Raw genomic sequence first — 18,470 nt, 5'->3', positions numbered from 1 at the left:
TTTGTTCAAAGTCCAGTTCTAATAGCTTTTGGACTGTGGTTTAATTTTAACCATAAAGCATTCTTTTGGAATAATTGCTTTTGAATCTGGGAAGAGCCAGCTGGATACAAGGCCATAAACACCCCCCTGCGGGGAATGTACAGGCTTTAAGTTACGTTTTTTTACCACTAGCATTTCTCTTTATCTTTTTTCTTTTTTTGGAGACAGGGTCTGGCTCTGTTGCCCAGGCTGGAGTTCAGTGGTACAATCAGAGCTCACTGCAGCCTCATCCTCCTGGGCTCCAGCGATCCTCCCATCTCAGCCTCCCGAGTAGCTAGCTGGGACCACAGGCACGCATCACTGGCTAATTTTTTTTTTTTTTTTTAGAGACAGGGTGTTGCTATGTTGCCCAGGCTGATCTCAAACTCCTGGTCTCAAGTGATCCTCCTGCCTCAGCCTCCCAAAGTGCTGGAATTACAGGCCTGAGCCACCATGCCTGGCCTAGCATATCTCTTTTTTTAAAAAAAGGAGACTGATGGGGGTTGGGGGGATGCAAATTGTGAGTAGATAGGTGGGATTGGAGGAGAGTTTGAACATCTGCTTTAATCAACTAAATGGTGTCTTAGAGCTGTCCTGCGGGCAACCATGTGGCCTCAGATTTCTGGGACAATCTCAATTTCTGGGACAGAGGACTGGCCCACTGGCCCTTTGTTAGGCTACGCATCAGACCACCACCAATTTCCAGTTCTGAAATTGTGGTCACCAGAGAGACCTATCAGCAGCCATAGACATTATCTCCTTCGGAATGACTGGACCCAGGCAGCCAGGCAGAGCTGGGGTCCCCAGAGCTCCTGGCACTAGCCGGAATATTTCCAGTTCCTCTTCTTCCCTTACAGCACAAGTCCTTTGGTAATCATTGCTCATATTTGTAGAACCTTAGAGAATTTTGGATGTAGCAGGACAGAAATTGGTTGCCTGCCATTTTGTGGCTTGGGTGGCATACATCTTGTTTGGCAATTAAAAAAAAAAGATGAGAAGAAAATGGGATATGCAATGGAGACCAATTCAAGAAAAAGTGATTTATGCCAGTCCTAGCTGAGGCAGATGAATTTGGGAAGACTTACTTGTTTTCTAGAAATAGTCTTCACTTGACCAGAGATTCATACTTGGGCGTATTTAAATACAGAGCTCTTCTGGAGCATTTGACTAGAAGGACAGAAAACCAGAGACTAATTAACCAGTTGTTACCAGCGGGAAATCCGTTTTTGTTTGTTTGTTTGTTTGTTTGTTTTCTTTTTGAGGCGGAGTCTCGCTCTGTCGCCAGGCTGCAGTGGAGTGGCGTGATTTTGGCTCACTGTGCAATCTCTGCCTCCTGGGTTCAAACCATTCTCCTGCCTCAGCCTTCCAAGTAGCTGGGATTACAGGTGCACTCCACCACACCCAGCTAATTTTTGTATTTTTAGTAGAGACGGGGTTTCACCATGTTGGCCAGGATGGTCTCAATCTCCTGATCTGGTGATCTGCCTGCCTTGGCCTCCCAAAGTGCTGGGATTATAGGCGTGAGCCACTGCGCCAGGCCAAGAGATCAGTCTTACATGAAAATCAAGGGTTCAGTTACCCAGTGGGTCAGTAAGAGATGAGGCTTTCATTTAGAAAAACCGGAGCCTGAGGCCGGGCGCGGTGGCTCACGCCTGTAATTCCAACACTTTTGGAGGCCAAGGCAGGTGGATCACGAGGTCAGGAGTTCAAGACCAGCCTCGCCAAGATGGTGAAACCCTGTCTCTACTAAAAATACAAACATTAGCTGGGCGCAGTGGCAGGCAGCTGTAATCCCAGCTACTTGGGAGGCTGAGGCAGGAGAATCGCTTGAACCTGGGGGGCAGAGATTGTGCCACTGCACTCCAGCCTGGATGACAGAGTGAGACTCCATCTCAAAAAAAAAATTAAATTAAAAATAAAAGTAGAAAAATTGGAGCCTGTGCAGCTCTCCTGAGGGCAGATGCATAAAGCTGGGTGCGCCCCTCCAGCCTGCTGGGTCCCACAGAAGCTCAAGAGGCAGGGGCCATGTCTTTCACCACTTGTCACTGCTATAATTCCCTGTTTAGAACTCTCAGTGAGTGTCAGATCAACACATTCATCCACCATATCCCGTGTGTATAAGAACAATCCATCACTCCTGACCTAATCCAGCACAGAACAGAACTTCTGGAAGAGGACTAAAGAAGAGAAAGAGTGGAAGTGTCACATGCCCAGAGGAAAATAGATGCGACAGAGATGAATAAAACAAAACAAAACAAAAGGAAGAAAGCCAAGCTAATCTGGGAGTTCCATCACGGCTAAGAACGCATCTTTGTTTTGTCACGCGGTTTCTAGCCCGGCTCAGACCTGGGCTGCGGCACCTCAGGCATCTCCTTTCATCTCTCGGCTTTTCTCCTGGCTCCCGGGCGCTTCTCGAGACTTTTTGGACCTGGACTGGTCCATGGCAGAACACCTCTTTCCTGAGTCCTCCCTATGCACCTGCCCAAAGCGGGGGATTGGGGTGGCACTCTCCAAGATGCCAGGCTCCTCAAATGGAGCCATCACCCCCTAGGCTGTACTTGGCATTGTCTCCAAGGAGCCTGGGGAGGTAACCGGTTGGGGACTGATTCACTTGGGAGGGAGGGAGCGAGTGCAGATTGCAGATGCTATCTAGTCGGGCCAAGTCAACCTGGGGAAGGGCAGGTCTGTGTCTCAACTGGTTTAGGGGTGGGAGAGTGGGATTGGAACTTTTACACCTTGCATTCTTAGGACGTCACAATGGTTTTCCCAAGGCCTCCTTATCTGAGGGTGTTTACCTATTCAACCAGCATACGCAGGTTCAGGACTCCCACTTTGTCCGGGTTCTGTCCTCACAGGCACAGGAAGATTAATGCGAACAACAGGGTCTGACAAACCAAAACTCACAGATAAGAGACTTGGGTTATTAGGGCAGATGCCAGAAGTCATGGGATCTTCACGGGGTGGCTGTAGGCTGAGCAATCTCCCTCGGGATGTGAGGGGGTGTATTTCTGCGTTATTGGTCATTGAGAAATTCCCTAATCTTAGAGAGAAAAGGAATGAAACCAAGGGCTTGAATCGGAGTATACGTAGTTGACCTAATTATAAGGTTGTCCATCCATCTGTTTAATAAATAGTTCCATGATGTGGGACGGCAAGGTCACTCATAGCCCTGAACATTAACAACGTTTTCCTAAGGTTCTGGAAAAAAAGTGGTAACCATGTGTTCAGCTGCAGGCTTGTTCTGTCTCAGGCCTCAGGCTGACATGAATCAGAAATAGAGGGAAATGTGGAAGTGGCATTGCAAATATTAGTTCTAAAAACGGACTGGGAAGAGAGAGTGCCTCTAGACCCAGTCATGGCCTAGCCAAGCCCCAGAAGAATGACATCACCCATTGTGCCTCGTGGGGAGCCCCTGAGGCTGTCATGGATTTGTAGTCCTATGTGGGACAGCGCTGCTGACGCGGTTATTTCCTGCACTAGACCTACCCTGTCAGCAAGACACTGTTTACATGAGCTGAGTGCCAAGTTGCGGCACATTATGCACAATCGCTTTTAAGTTCAATTAAATTAACGTTTAGAAACATTGTAGATAGAAAAAGCTAAAGAGCATTTTAGCAAACAGTGATTACCTAGAGATGCAAGTGCTTTGAATTTGAGCATTAGAGAACTTGTGAATTTGTAGGAGTTAAGCAGGACAAGTACCCATCTAATGAATGTTCATAAGGGAAGCGCGCGTGTAGGAGGCATTTCAGGTAGCCCAGCGCAGACCAAGGAGGGAAGGAAACAGATAAGATGTCAGAAAACATCTTCAAATACCCAGAGTTGTTATCCCCTCCACGAAACATTGGAGGGCGAATTGTTTGGGTCAGTAAAATAGAATCATAAAGTGTGAAGAAGAAACCTGTGGAACATTCTGGAAGAATTGGTCAGAGATGGGCCGGGCGTGGTGGCTCACACCTGTAATCCCAGCACTTTGGGAGGCCGAGGTGGGTGGATCACCTGAGGTCAGGAATTCAAGACCAGACTAGCCAACATGATGAAACCCCGTCTCTACTAAAAATACACAAAATTAGCCGGGCGTTGTGGTGGGCGCCTGTAATCCTAGCTACTCAGGAGGCGGAGGCAGGAGAATTGCTTGAACCCGGGAGACAGATTGCAGTGAGCTGAGATTGCGCCACTGCAGTCCAGCCTGGGCAACAAGAGCGAAACTCCATCTCAAAAAAAGAAAAAAAAAAAAAAAGAATTGGTAAGAGATGAATACCCCATCACAGCCTCTTTGATTTCAGAGGTGAAATAGTTGAACCCCAGACCTCACTGTCAGATGTAAAGAGTCACTCCAAATTTATAAGCTCATTAAACTAGTATTTCTGACCGTTTACACATTTGGCTGTAGAGAAAATACACAGAATGCTTCCAGCCACACCTATGCCTACTCAAGCCACTTAGCTGACAAGCCACTTAGCTTTTTCTTCTAATTACTCGGGTGCGCGTCTCTGTTATTTACAAAGTTTGGTGAAGTCAGGGCAGGGGGAATTTATGGTTCGATACCCTTTCTAGCACAGAGGGGTAAAATTCAGCCTGTCTTTTGAAATCAGTCTGAACTGTCAAACTCCCAGTTGAGGACTCCTCTCCCCAAATCAGGAATCTTTTTTGTTTTCTCTGGCTATGGGCCACAGTCAGGGCTTTGGAGTTCATTTGTATGCCCTCCCCCATCCCCATTAGTGTTATTGTGTATATTTGAGGTACTTATTCTTCACTGACCATAGGTGAATAGGAGCTGGTTCACCTAAAAGCTCCCACTCCCCATTCACTTTTTTTTTTTTTTTTTTTTTTTTGAGATGGAGTCTTGCTCTGTTGCCCAGGCTGGAGTGCAGTGGTGAGATCTTGGCTCAATGCAACCTCTGCTTCCCAGGTTCAAGCGATTCTCCTGTCTCAGCCTCCTGGGTAGCTGGAATTACATGTGCCCACCACCACACCCGACTAAGTTTTCGTATTTTTAGCAGAGACGGGATTTCATCATATTGGTCAGGCTGGTGTCGAACTCCTGACGTCAGCTGATCCACCTGCCTTGGCCTCCCAAAGTGCTGGGATCGCAGGTGTGAGCCACCGCACCCAGCCCCCATTCACTTTTGTTTTAGGAAATGAGAAAGCTTCTGCCTTTTTTCTTTCCTTCCTTCCTTGGATGTTAGTTAAGATCAGTGAGGTAATGGTGATAAAGTACTTTGAATTACCTCAAGGAGAGTGCAGCCCAACTTGTTATTATTTACCTAGGTCAGTTCACAAACCCCCACGATCTAGGGTTCCTGTCTCCTGCCCTGGGGATGGTGCCTGGGAGAAAGGAGATGTCACAGACCCAGTCCCACAGGGCGCTGTTGGCTGGAGTTGGTCATTCCTTACTTTGACATCAACAGGCTTATCTCTAGAAATAGGCTAAATGGTAGCTCAGGCGCCGGTGTTGCCTCATCCCGCAAACTCCCAGGGAGGCTGCCTACTTCCAGCCCCTGTTCTGGGAACTAATGATAGGTGGGATGAAAAGACTGTTTCCTCTGATGCGCTTTTATGAGTTGTTTTCGAAGATGAGGTGGCAAGGACATGGTTAACCCGCTCCCTTGTGCAGGGAGACATCAGAATGACAGGGCACGGGGAATCTCCCCAACCCGTTCCCAGGAGAGCTCTTGCCGAGGACGGCCCAGCTGTTAGCCAGAAATCAAGGCAGCCTCAAGCCCTGTAACCCAGATATCAGTGGGCTTTTTCGGCTGACGGTGCTGTGGCCTGCGGCAGGCGGCAGTGTGGGTAGAGGACAGCTGTGGCTGAGGCCGGCAGCTCTTTCCACACGACTTCTTGGGTAATGGCTCTTCTTAAGCCTGTGATATTTAGGGATTGTCAAACTTCCCTTTCATCCTGAGCCACCTTCCCTCATGGGTAGCAGAGGAGTTGGATTTCTTTCTTTTCTTTTCTTTTTTCTTTTTCTTTTTCGACAGAGTCTTGCTCTGTCGCCCAGGCTGGAGGGCAGTGGTATGATCTCTGCTCACTGCAACCTCCACCTCCCGGGTTCAAGTGATTCTTCTGCCTCAGCCGCCCGAGTAGCTGGGATTACAGGCACGCACCACCACGCCCAGCTAATTTTTGTATTTTTAGTAGAGATGGGGTTTCACCATGTTGGTCAGGCTGGTCTCGAACTCTTGACCTCAGGTGATCCACCTGCCTTGGCCTCCCAAAGTGCTGGGATTACAGGCGTGAGCCACCAAGCCCGGTCAAGGAGTTGGATTTCTTATGACAAGAGTATTATGGCTGTGTGTCCCAGAGGAGGCACTGTGTCCTCATGAGGGTCCTTCACTGAAAGGAGAGCCTCGAGGACAAAGGAATCTTCTAGAGACGACGTTGGGAGGGAGGAGTGGAGTTTGCAGGTGACTCTAGAGGACCCCAAAGTCCAGTGGGAGCTCATTACCTCCTCGATAGGAGGAGCCTGTTGTTGTATGAGTGAGGAAAGGTGGCAGAACCGAGGCTGAGAGAGGCTGCGAAGATGCAGCAGCAGTGCTGAGGCCTGAGAGGAGGACACGTTCTATTACGCCAATTAATTCTACCCACCGAAAGGGCACATCACATTTTTGGGGTTGCCAAAAGCCGTTCTTAGCAGTAAAAAGTCTGTGAACTGCTGCACTGGGGATTGGCAAAGGCTTGGTAGCCAGCGCATTGAAGAGGGAGGGACAGCAAGCCTCACACCGGGAGTGGATCCTTCCTGTGTTTCTGCCACCACAGTTTGCCAGTTTGATGCCAAGGGACTCTTACTGTTTATGTGTGCATGTTTGTGCTGTTAGATTATCTTCTGAGCAATTTCAAGTTTTAAGAATATGTTGGTGAAGTCAACAATGAACAATTCCAGGAGACTTGGTTCCACCCGGGCCCTGCTCAGGAAAGATGAGGAGCCCCTCCCAACCCCACCCCTGCCTGTCCACATGGCCCTTCCTCCCCATCATCCACCATGGGGCCCTCCTGTGCCACAACATGGCTCTCATCCTTCTGTCTGGACACTTGCCCTGCCTCCTGGAGAGCCAGGCTCCTGCCCTGGCGGGCATGTGAGTGTGCATGTGTGTGAGTGTGCATGTGTGAGTGTGCGTGTTTGCGAGTGTGCACGTGAGTGCACGTCTGAACGTGTGTGGGAGTGTATACGTGAGTGCACGTCTCAACGTGTGTGCGAGTGTGCATGTGTGTGCGAGTGTGTACGCGTGAGTGCACGTGTGCATGTGTGTGCAATTGTGCGTGTGTCTACGTGTGTGCATGTGAGTGCATGTGTGTGTGATTGCGTGTGTGTATAATTGTGCACGTATGTGAGTGTGCATGTGTGTACAATTGTGTGCGTGTGTGTGAGTGTGCATGTGTGTGCATGTGGCACGGAGGGGGAAGAAGAGAGTTCTCCTCTGTGGTGATCGCCACCATTCAGTTGAAGGGTTTAAGCTGAGCCAAGATGAAGCAAGAGTGACACCAAGTGCCAAGAACAAGTGCTTGCTGTGGTATCAGGTGTGCTCTCTCCTCAAATCAGAGGAGCAGAGAGAAGCTCAGTTCCAGTCTGCAGTGTTCACCCCTGTGAGAGGGTGCCGACCCATCCAGAGGTGGCCAGCCCCCTCCAGAGGTGGCTCAGTGCTGGCATGCCACTCTGCCCATTTGGACAAGGGGATGGCCTCTCTGGGAATTGGATGCGGAACCGAAGCTTTGAATAGATTTAAAAAATAAAATCCAAGGTGGGATGTTTTGTTGGCTAGAACATGATGCACAGACCCAGATTGCCGTTCTGGCCCTATTGCTGTCCTTCAGCCCCATTCGGAGAATGACCAGACCCCGAGGCCACAGTAGGACAAAGAAGAAGACTGACCCAGTTCTCTGTTTCCTGCTGCCATGCCCGGGCCTCTGCTGCCAGAAGTCTTCCCCATGAAGCCATAGGTGGGGGACTAAAAGGCATATTCCTGTGGGGTGACCCCGAGAGAGACTGGGCATGGTTTCCACCGAGGCACTGTTGGGGGCAGAGAATTCTTTGGTTGCCGGAGAGGACCACCTGGTGCAGACCAGACCTGCAGCTGCGGCTTCAGGGTAGGAGCATGGCCGCCTTGGTGTCGCCATCTGGCCAGTCCTTGTTCCTACAGTTCCACTCCCAGCCGTGTCCTCAGCTTGTACCCACTTGTTTTTTTCCTTCATGGAAGCTAAGGAGGGGACTGGGTTTGTTTGTCCAGATGCCACCAGTTGGATGACCGTTGCGGGTACAGGAGTGTCTTCACCACGCAGTGCCAGGCCAGGTCCCACCTCACATCTCTATTCCTCATCTGGGAATGCTGGCATCAGCAGGTTGATTCAAAACTAGGAGGTGTTGGGAAACCCCTTGGGCTGGAGATTTCGAACTGAGATTCAGATGAGAAAAAACATAGTGGGTGGGGTTCTGAGGCAGGAAGGAGACAGCAAAAGCTCCTGTCCTGACGCTCCGCTCGATAGCGGGGATCAACAGAGCGGCCTGGCATGGTTGGGGGCAGCTGCGCTGGCTGAACCCAGGTGCAAGGCTGGCCCTGGACGGCCTCTCCCACCTCTGGACACAGAGCCGCCCCGTGCCTCTCCATTCACCAGGCAAAACCACACCTGGAGTGGCGCGTTCAGTCTGGGGCATGTTGGCACCAGCAGGTGTGGATAAATCCAAGGGCTCCTTCGGAGGGAGGGCAGGGGAGGAGGGCTGGCAGGAGTATGGGGAGAAAAGCTGTTTGAAAAGATTGTAAAAGGCTGTGGGAGAATTCAGAGAGGGGGCGAGTGATGAAGGGAGGACCACGCAGCTCAGGAGCCACAGCCTGGGTGGCCTGGGCGGCAAGGGCAGCCCCCATTCTGCTGTTGAGTGGCTGTCTTGCCGTCTGCACTCCCTCGTCATACAGTCCTCCCTGTGCGTTAGCTCAGGACAGCCTGGCATCGGTGGCTCCTGGTGGCAGGTGCCTGTGACATGAAGAGCACAGAGGAAGACGCTGGCTAGATCCAGAGGCAGAGAGAGGAGGACATGAGGAGAAGGTGAGGGAAACTGAGGAACAAGGAGAGGAAGAGCAATTAAAATGATTCCTTGAAAGAAAAGGAGGTAAAACAGAAAACGTGGCGAGGGGTATCCTAGAAGGAGCAGAAAAGGAAGGAAAAAAAGGGTGAACATTGTCTTTCATTTGAAGGACTTGGAGTGGCACAGTCAAGAACGAGTCTCCAAACACAGTCAGTACTCAGAAAGCTCATCATTGGATTTGTAAATCCATTTCATCTGGGTGGACTGAAGAACGTGGTACCCTCTGAGGATGTCAGGGCCCATATTGTGGGAAAGTCAAGAGTGGCGCCGCAACAAACTAGCTAATCAGTTATGAACACGAGGGGCTCATGATTCATGAGCCTGCCCATCTATCTCGTGCAGGGTGGAGACCCATCTAACCGGAACCACCACCCAGCCTCTCCCAGCCTCCTTAGATGACAAGCTCTGGCATCCTCGGTCCACCCAACTCAGCCCCCAAGCATTTCGCCAAAACATCAGTAAGCAGGTATAGGTGAAGGAGGTCACAGGTGTCTCCATTTTGTGCCGTTTTCTCTCCTTCCCAGTGCTCAGCACACGACTAACCAGGGGTTCTCATCAGGGGCCGTATATTCACTCCTGAAAGGGTAGTCAGCAGGTCACCAAACACCTTCCTCTGAACTCAGAATAAGTTTATTTTTACTTAATTTTTTAAATTAAAATAAATTTTTTTAGGCCGGGTGCAGTGGCTCACGCCTGTAATCCCAGCACTTTGAGAGGCTGAGGTGGGCGGATCACAAGGTCAGGAGTTCAAGACCAGCCTGGCCAATATGGTGAAACCCCATCTCTAAAAAATACAAAAAAAATTACCCGGGCGTGGTTGCGCATGCCTGTAATCCCAGCTACTCGGGAGGCTGAGGCAGGAGAGTTGCTTGAACCTGGGAGGCAGAGGTTGCAGTGAACCGAGATCCTGCCACTGCACTCCAGCCTGGGCAACAGTGTAGGACTCTCTCACAAAAAAAAAAAAAAAAAAAAAAAAAAAAAATTCTGGGACAGAGTCTCGTTCTGTTCACACAGGCTGGAATGCTGTGGTGTCATCATAGCTCACTATAACCTCAAACTCCTGGGCTCGAGTGATCCTCCCACCTCAGCCTCCCAAGTAGCTGGGACTATAGGCCCTGCCACTGTATCTGGCTAATTTTTAAATATTTTGCAGAAACGGGATCTCACAATGTTGGTCTGAAACTCCTGAGCTCATGTGATCCTCCTGCCTCAGCCTCCCGAGTTGCTGGGATTACAGGCATGAGCCGCCGTGCCCAGCTAGTTTATTTTTATATTCTGTATTACTGTGGACCGGAAAATCCAAGAGTTTGCCTGTACCCTATGGGAAAATTGTCTCTCAGCTGCAACGTGCCCAGCGTTCTCAGCAGTCAGGGCAAATTCAACTACAGCAGCCACCGCCCATCTTACCGAAGCTAAACCAGACATGGATGTTATTATCTGCTGCATCCAGCATTTGTTTAGAGCTTTCTGCTTCACAAAGCAACTCATTATCTTAATCTTCACCATCATCCTACATTGCTCTTACTTCCACTTTATGAACAGTCAGTCTCAGAAAGCTAAGGCATCTTCCTCAAAGCAGCTGTAGGATTCAAACTGTGTGTCCGGGGACTCCAGATTCTTTGTGCTTTCTACACATTTAGATTTCATGGTAACATCAAAAATCAGGATTCCTGGATCTGGAGCAGTTTATTCCCTCGGCCTTCCTCCCACCCATTGCCATCCCAGCCCATTTCTATAACCATCAAATGGGCAATGTTTTTTTTTTTTTTTTTTTTTTGAGACATGGTCTCACTCTGTCACCCAGGCTGGAGGGCGGTGGCGCAATCTCGGCTCACTGCAACCTCTGCCTCCCAGGTTCAAGCGATTCTCCTGCCTCAGCCTCCTGAGTAGCTGGGATTACAGGCGCCCGCCAGCAAGCCCTGCTAATTTTTTTGTATTTTTAGTAGAGATGGGGTTTCGCCATGTTGGCCAGGCTGGTCTCAAACTCCTGACCTCAAGTGATCCACCCGCTTCGGCCTCCCAAAGTGCTGGGATTACAGGCGTGAGCCACCGCGGCCGGCCTAAATTGGCAAGAATTTTCACTGTTCAATGAAGAACATCCTTTTGCAGCCAATTATTCCAACATTGCCTTCCTGAAGGACTCTTTCAAAATCATCAAGAAGATTTCACTACAAAAGCAATATGGGAATATTGTAGAAAAAAGTACGAAATATAGAAAAAAGAAAATAAAAGTCATAATTCTGCCATTGAACAAGAATTTAAGATTTTTACTTCCATGATTTTTACTACAGACATATGGACTGACTTACGTTTATAAAAATGACAAGGGTGCCTACCCCATAATACTGTTTTGGAACCTGCTTTTAAATTTAATATATTGTAAGCATTTTCCTGAAATATTTTTTGCCATCATATTTAAGAGATACACATATTTCATTATAGTTTTTCTTTTTTTGAGACAGGGTCTCACTCTGTTGTCCAGGCTACAGGGTACAGTGGTGTGATCTCAGCTCACTGCAATCTCCGTCTCCCAGGTTCAAGCAATTCTTGTGCCTCAGTTTCCCAAGTAGCTGGGACTACAGGAGCACGCTACCACGCCCGGCTAATTTTTTTTGTATTTTTTGGTAGAGACGGGGTTTCACCATGTTGGCCAGGCTGATCTTGAACTCCTGACCTCAAGTAATCCGCCTGCCTTGCCCTCCCAGAGTGCTGGGATTACAAGTGTGAGCCACCACACACAGCTTACTTAATTATAATTTTTAATGTACTCAGGTTAAATATTTAGATTGTTTCTACTTTTTCAATATTATAACTAGTTTTATGATAGGCTTTTTTTTTTTTTTTTTTTTTGAGCTAGAGTCTTGCTCTGTCGCCCAGGCTGGAGTGCAATGGCATGATCTCGGCTCATTGCAACCTCTGCCTCCCAGGTTCAAGCTAGTCTCCTGCCTCAGCCTCCTGAGTAGTTGGGATTGTAGGCACGTGCCACCACACCTGGCTAATTTTTGTATTTTTAGTAGAGACGGGGTTTCACCACATTGGTCAGGCTGGTCTTAAACTCCTGACCTGGTGATCTGCCCACCTCAGCCTCCCAAAGTGCTGGGATTACAGGCACAAGCCACCACACCCAGCCTCTTTTTTTTTTTTTTTTTTTTTTTTAGAGATGGAGGTCTCACCATGTTGGCCAGGTTGGTCTTGAACTCCTGGCCTCAAGCAATCCGCCCGCCTCAGCCTCCCAAAGTGCTAGGATTACAAGCGTGAGCCACCACACTGGGCCTTGATAGACTTGCTTATAGGTAACAGATACCTAATTTTCATTTTTATTCCTTGGATTATGAATGAAGTTGAATTTTTTTCATATAATTGTTATCATTTGAAGCTGTTTTATGAATAATCCATACTGTTTGCCAGCTTCCCATGGTACATATTTTATTTTTTATATTTTTATTTTTTGCTCTGTTGCCCAGGTGGAGTGCAGTGGTGCAATCTTGGCTCACTGCAACATGCACCTCTTGGGTTCAAGCAATTCTCATGCCTTAGCCTCCTGAGTAGCTGGGATTAGAGGTGCGCACCACCATGCCCGGCTAATTTTTTGTGTTTTTTTTTTTTTAGTAGAGACAGGGTTTTGCCATGTTGCCCAGGCTGGTCTCGAACTCCTGGGCTCAAGTGATCTGCCCACCTCTGCCTCCCAAAGTGCTGGGATTACAGGCGTGAGCCACCACGCCTGCCTGCCTGCCTGCCTCCCTCCCTCCCTCCCTCCTTCCTTCCTTCCTTCCTTCGTCCTTTCTCTCTCTCTTTCTTTTCTTTCTTTCTTGAGACGGAGTTTCGCTCTCATTGCCCAGGCTGGAGCGCAATGGTGCGATCTCGGCTCACCGCAACCTCTGCCTCCCGGGTTAAGGCAATTCTCCTGCCTTAGCCTCCCAAATAGCTGGGATTACAGGCATATGCCACCACGCCCAGCTAATTTTTTGTATTTTTAGTAGAGATGAGGTTTCTCCATGTTGGTCAGTCTGGTCTCGAACTCCCAACCTCAGGTGATCCACCCTCCTTGGCCTCCCAAAGTGCTGGGATTACAGGTGTAAGCCACTGCGCCCGGCCACCTTTTATTTTTCTTACAGATATGTAGGAACTCTTTATATTAAGGCTGAAATTTCAAACCCCAAACAAATCAAACTTCTTAGAGGGCTCCTCGCCTCCTTAGGGAACGCTTCCTCCCCACCTGGGCATGAAACTCAGCCAGGGCAGCTCTCAGCCCCTCTGCCCTGACTCCAGCACCTACCACCTCTCTTACAGGGCTGTGGCCTGAGGGCTGTGGTGGCCCCACAGAGGTCCCTACACAAGGCTTCTGAGAACCCTGGCAGGAACCTCTTACAGCTCCCGGAAGGGAGTGGAGGGGAGCAAACAGTTAGGGGGCGTTTGAGTCAGAGGAGAGTGTGCTGGTTAGGGAGGGCAGGAGGCACCACCAGTCTGGCACACAGGGAACCCCACTCCTCCAGGGCCCGTGCTCTAGCACGGCCTGAGAGCTGGTGAGCGCGCCCTTGCCCTGTTATTACCTCTGGCGGCTTCATTTGTGCTGCTGGTGACAGGGACACAAGTCCTTCCAGTCCTCCTGGTCTTGCCTGTCCGCTGTGCATGGGGAGGGAAGCGCTCAGGCCTGTTACCTGCCTGGAGTCCTCAACGGGGAGAGGCGGAGGGAGCCGGCTGGACTGGCCCTCCAAGGCCGAGGCGGTGAGGACAGGATGAGTTTCTTACCCACCAAGATCATTACTTTGGAAAATTGGAACTGTAGGGAGGAGTTCAGGGCATGTCGGGGATGGACGTCGGGAGTTCCTTCCAGAGCTCCTGTGGGTTTGGAATGTCCTCGCTCACTCCGGATCCCCCAGCATCTTCCTTCCTGCACTTCCGTCCCACCCTTCCTCCAGGTTTGGGACATTTAAGAGACAGCTGTGGCTGCGACATTAGCAGGAGCAAACACACCTGACAATGGTATGGCGGGGCCAGCCCCGGGCACCTGTGGTCTCCCTCCGGGTCTTGGGTTTAGTTCCCTGCAGTTGGGCTTTGGGGTGTCCCCACTCTCTTTCCTTCTACTTCTACACATTCTTGGAAAGACAGTGGCATGCTCTAGAGAGAGCCCAGGCTCGGAGCCGGGACACTCCGCTCTGCAGGGAACGTGGGCTGACCTTGGCTGTTTCTTAACTTCTTTAGGTTTGACTGCCCTTGTCTAGAAAGTGACAGTAACAGTGCCAGCCTCTCAGGGTTGCTGGAAGATTAAATGAGATGCCATGTGCAATATGCCAGACAGATGGCAGGTAGGTGCCCACCCGTGTTAGTATTTCTTCCTCCTTTGTCTTTTCTCAACTGTCTTGACATGGGGTGACATTCGGGAGCTCAAGAGATTCCTGCTGGAGGGTGGAGTCTGTGGTGGTGGAGTCTCTGTGCCCTGGGGCAGCCTGGCCCCCTCCAGTCTCCACTTCTCACCCTCCTCTTCCGCTGCCTGGACTGGGCCATATTTGTTTCCCCCACTCGAAGGTGACCTTCTGGACGGAGGTCATCTTAGGCATCTTTGCACCCTCAAAACCTGAGCACCGCCCCGGCACAGAGTGGGTGCAGAGACCGAATGTTCGGAGACAAAATGAAGAACTGAAAGGGAAGGAGTTTCATAAGCACTTGAGGACCTGAGAGACAAGAGCCCAAACTTTAGAGTCTAGCAGGCGTCAGGTCAGAGCCCAGCTTCACCACTTGCTCACCGTGTGACCTTGAGCAAGATGGTTAATTTCCCTGAGCCTCAGTTTTTTTGTCTAAAGATAGCAACAATAATAGCTACCTCCTAGGGTTGTTTTGGGGACTAGAGATGATGTCAGAGGCTTCGGCCTGACACGTAGTAGGAGCTCAGGTAGTGCAAGTCGTGATTAGCTGCTATTACAGGACTATTTACTTCTGGCCCCAAAGCCAAATCTTGCCCCAAGAACTCTTGGTCTTTTTTTTTTTTTTTTTCTTTTTTGAGATGGAGTCTCACACTGTTGCCCAGGCTGGAGTGCAGTGGCGCGATCTCGGCTCACTGCAACCTCCGCCTCCTGGGTTCAAGCGATCTCTGCCTCAGCCTCCTGAGTAGCTGGGATTACAGGCATGTGCCACCATGCCCGGCTAATTTTTGTGTTTTTAGTAGAGTCAGGGTTTCACCATGTTGGCCAGGCTGGTCTTGAACCCCTGCTCTCAGGTGATCCTCCCGCCTTCGCCTCCCAAAGTGCAGGGATTACAAGCGTGAGCTACTGCACCTGGCCTCTGAGCACATTTTAAATGATCTGTTTTCTTTGTGTTTTACTCTATTTTATTTTATTTTTATTTATTTATTTTATTTTTTAAGGCAGAGTCTTGCTCTGTCACCCAGACTGGAGTGCAGTGGTGTGATCTCGGCTCACTACAACCTCTGCCTCCTGGGTTCAAGTGATTCTCCTGCCTCACCCTCCCGAGTAGCTGGGACTACAGGCACGTGCCACCACGCCTGGCTAATTTTTTTTTTGTATTTTTAGTAGATATGGGGTTTCACCGTGTTAGCCGGGATGGTCTGGATCTCCTGACCTCATGATCTGCCCGCGTTGGCCTCCCAAAGTGCTGGGATTACAGGCGTGAGCCACCACGCCCAGCCTTTTTTCTATTTTAAAAGATTGATCAAAGTAGGATTGTATGGAATCATGTCACAGACAGAAAGTGAGGAACGGAGGAAATCAGGCACTGATACCCAGCTCTTACAATCAGGAAACAGAGCCTGGAAGATCTAAGTCACAAAGGAGCGCCCTTGCCCAAGACCCCGATCTCCACACTTGAGTCAACCTACCCCTGGCATGGGCCCCACAGGGGCGAGGTACCTGAGCCCCCACATGCAGCCTGCCTGCCGCCTCCGCTGCCTCCATGCCACCTCTGCCTGGGAGAGCTGGGGTGTTGGGGGAGGGCGGTGAACTGGGAGCTGACTGGTTGGTTGTAGGGACTGAAAGAGCCAGGCCCTGGAGCCTAAGGTGGGAGAGCAGGAGCCAGACAGACTCCAGAGCTCAGGAAGAGAGATTTGGCTGTGAAAAGAGCGGGACATCCTGGGTCAGGTGGCTGCCATCGCCCGAGGGAGTGGACCCAGAGGACAGTGAGAGGATCAGAGGGGAGCGCCTGCCCGTGGCGAGTCCAGGTTCAGTGCAGGGAGCCACCTTGCTGCAGGTCTTGCTGTCTGCTCGGCTGTCTCTTCCATCCCACTCAGCTCAGCAGCATTTTCTCCCTGGCTCTGCCTTCTTGGATCTGATGAGCAGGCCTGGAAATCACGGCCAGCGCACTTTGACCTTAGAGGATTTTGTGGCTAGGAGATTTTGTGGCTGTGTCCCACCTGCAGTGCCAGAATTAGGTCCCTTTAGTGAGTCCCAGCAAATGACCCCCAGCCAGGCCAGCAGCCCTCCAGCCGTTCCCAGCAGCTGGGGCATGGGGTGCTTGGAAGTCTCCAGCTGCCTGCACTGCTCTCCTGGCCTCCCCGCCCTTGGCCCCTCCTGCAGGGCAACCTCCCAGCCTTTAGCCTCCTCACCTCTGCCAGTTTGCCAGCAAGTGTCTTCAAGAGTTTTTATGAGGCTGGGCACGGTGGCTCATGCCTGTAATCCCAACAATTTGGGAGGCCAAGGCGGGTGGATCACCTGAGGTCAGGAGTTCAAGACCAGCCTGGCCAACATGCTGAAACCCCATCTCTACTAAAAGTACAAAAATTGGCTGGGCATGGTGGCGGGCGCCTATAATCCCAGCTACTCAGGAGGCTGAGACAGGAGAATCGCTTGAACCCAGGAGGCAGAGGTTGCAGTGAGCCGAGATTGAGCCACTGCACTCCAGCCTGGTGACAAGAGCGAGTGAGACTCTGCCTAAAAAAAAAAAAAAAGTTTTTATGGAGTCTTTAGAGCAGAGAGGAACTGGAACTTTTGGGTTTAGGAGCCCACCTCATTTTATAGATGAGGAAACAGAGGTGGTCACTCGCCTGGGATCACGCAGACAGTGACAGAGGGCTAGGCTCAGACCAGGCTCCTGATTTGAGACCCTGCTCTTCCCCTGCACCACTGATGGGTGCCTGACCAAGCAGAGGGAGGCAGCCTTAGCTGTTGGTGCCACACTTCTGATATTGTCCAAAATCACATTAGTTCTTTTTTTTTTTTTCTGGGAGGTAGGGTCTTGCGCTGTCACCCAGGCTGGAGTGCAGTGGTGCAATCTCAGCTTACTGCAGTCTTGACCTCCCAGGCTCAAGCAATTTTCCCACCTTAGCCCCAGGAGTAGCTGGGACTAGAGGAACATGCTACCATGCCCAGTTAATTTTTTTTTTTTTTTGAGACAGAGTCTTGTTCTGTCACCCTGGCTGGAGTGCAGTGGCTCAATCTCGACTCACTGAAACCTCTGTCTCCAGGGTTCAAGCGATTCTCCTGCCTCAGCCTCCTGAGTAGCTTGGATTACAGGAGTGTGCCACCATACCTGGCAGATTTCTGTATTTTTTGTAGAGGCAGGGTTTCGCCATATTGGCCAGGCTGGTCTGGAACTCCTGACCTCAGGTGATCCACCCGCCTCAGCCTCCCAAAGTGCTGGGATTACAGGCATGAGCCACCACACCCGGCCTAATTCTAAAATTTTTTTGTAGAGACAGGATCTCCCTATGTTGCCCAGGCTTGCCTCTAACTCCTGGGCTCAAGCGATCTGCCTGCCTTGGCTTCCCAAAGTTTTGGGATTATAGCCGTGAGCCGCCACTCTCAGCCATCATTAGCTCTTTTTTGGGTGGCAGGGGAAGGGACCGCCCCATTTTCCTGTTGACCTGTTGAACTTCAGGTCACTGAAAACACCTAAATTGTCTTACAACTGATTGTAAAAATAATATATATTCACTATAAAAAAAAAAAAAGGGGGAGCCGGGTGCAGTGGCTCACACCTGTAATCCCAGCACTTTAGGAGGCCAAGATGGGTGGAATACCTGAGGTCAGGAGTTCGAGACCAGCCTGGCGAACATGGTGAAACCACTCTGTCTCTACTAAAAATACGAAAAATTAGCCAGGCATGGTGGTGGGCACCTGTAATCTCAGCTACTCGGGAGGCTGAGGCGGGAGAATAGCTTGAACCCTGGGAGCCAGAGGTTGAAGTAAGCTGAGATCGTGCCATTGCACTCCAGCCTGGGCGACAAGAGCGAAACTCCGTCTCAAAAAATATATATATTGGAAAATATTCCAAGATAGAATATAAATCTTAATGGCACTTACTGTTGTTGTAAAGCTTTTCCCACCCTGCCCTTGGTTGCTTTGTTTTTAGGTATAAAAATAGGACTCTCCGTTCATCCTTGATAAGGCTGTCTGGCTACATCCCCCAGTTCTCCTGTGTCTCAGAA

General features: G+C 50.1%; 1 protein-coding gene across 1 annotated transcript in view, besides 3 other annotated features; it reads left to right on the top strand.

Moving 5' to 3' along the window:
- LOC124902693 (uncharacterized) overlaps positions 1-18,470 on the top strand; it is a 44,799-nt gene that overhangs the window by 16,039 nt on the left and 10,290 nt on the right. The window contains exon 4 of the mRNA XM_047427980.1: positions 14,297-14,400. The gene's annotated coding sequence lies outside the window, so the exon portion shown is untranslated. The remainder of the gene's footprint in view (positions 1-14,296; positions 14,401-18,470) is intronic.
- Positions 14,568-14,657: an enhancer, noted in NCBI's record as "active region_5007". NCBI's record gives its function as "activates an Ori minimal core promoter by ATAC-STARR-seq in GM12878 lymphoblastoid cells {active_cell/tissue: GM12878}" and the evidence as "EXISTENCE:reporter gene assay evidence [ECO:0000049][PMID:35858748]".
- Positions 14,878-15,067: an enhancer, noted in NCBI's record as "active region_5006". NCBI's record gives its function as "activates an Ori minimal core promoter by ATAC-STARR-seq in GM12878 lymphoblastoid cells {active_cell/tissue: GM12878}" and the evidence as "EXISTENCE:reporter gene assay evidence [ECO:0000049][PMID:35858748]".
- Positions 15,615-16,335: an enhancer, noted in NCBI's record as "H3K4me1 hESC enhancer chr11:65568897-65569617 (GRCh37/hg19 assembly coordinates)". NCBI's record gives its function as "activates a minimal SCP1, AML or CMV promoter by ChIP-STARR-seq in naive H9 embryonic stem cells {active_cell/tissue: H9 hESC(naive)}" and the evidence as "EXISTENCE:reporter gene assay evidence [ECO:0000049][PMID:30033119]".

Source organism: Homo sapiens, chromosome 11, assembly GCF_000001405.40.
Source record: "Homo sapiens chromosome 11, GRCh38.p14 Primary Assembly".
NCBI lineage: Eukaryota > Metazoa > Chordata > Mammalia > Primates > Hominidae > Homo > Homo sapiens.
This window is presented reverse-complemented; position numbering and strand designations above follow the sequence as displayed.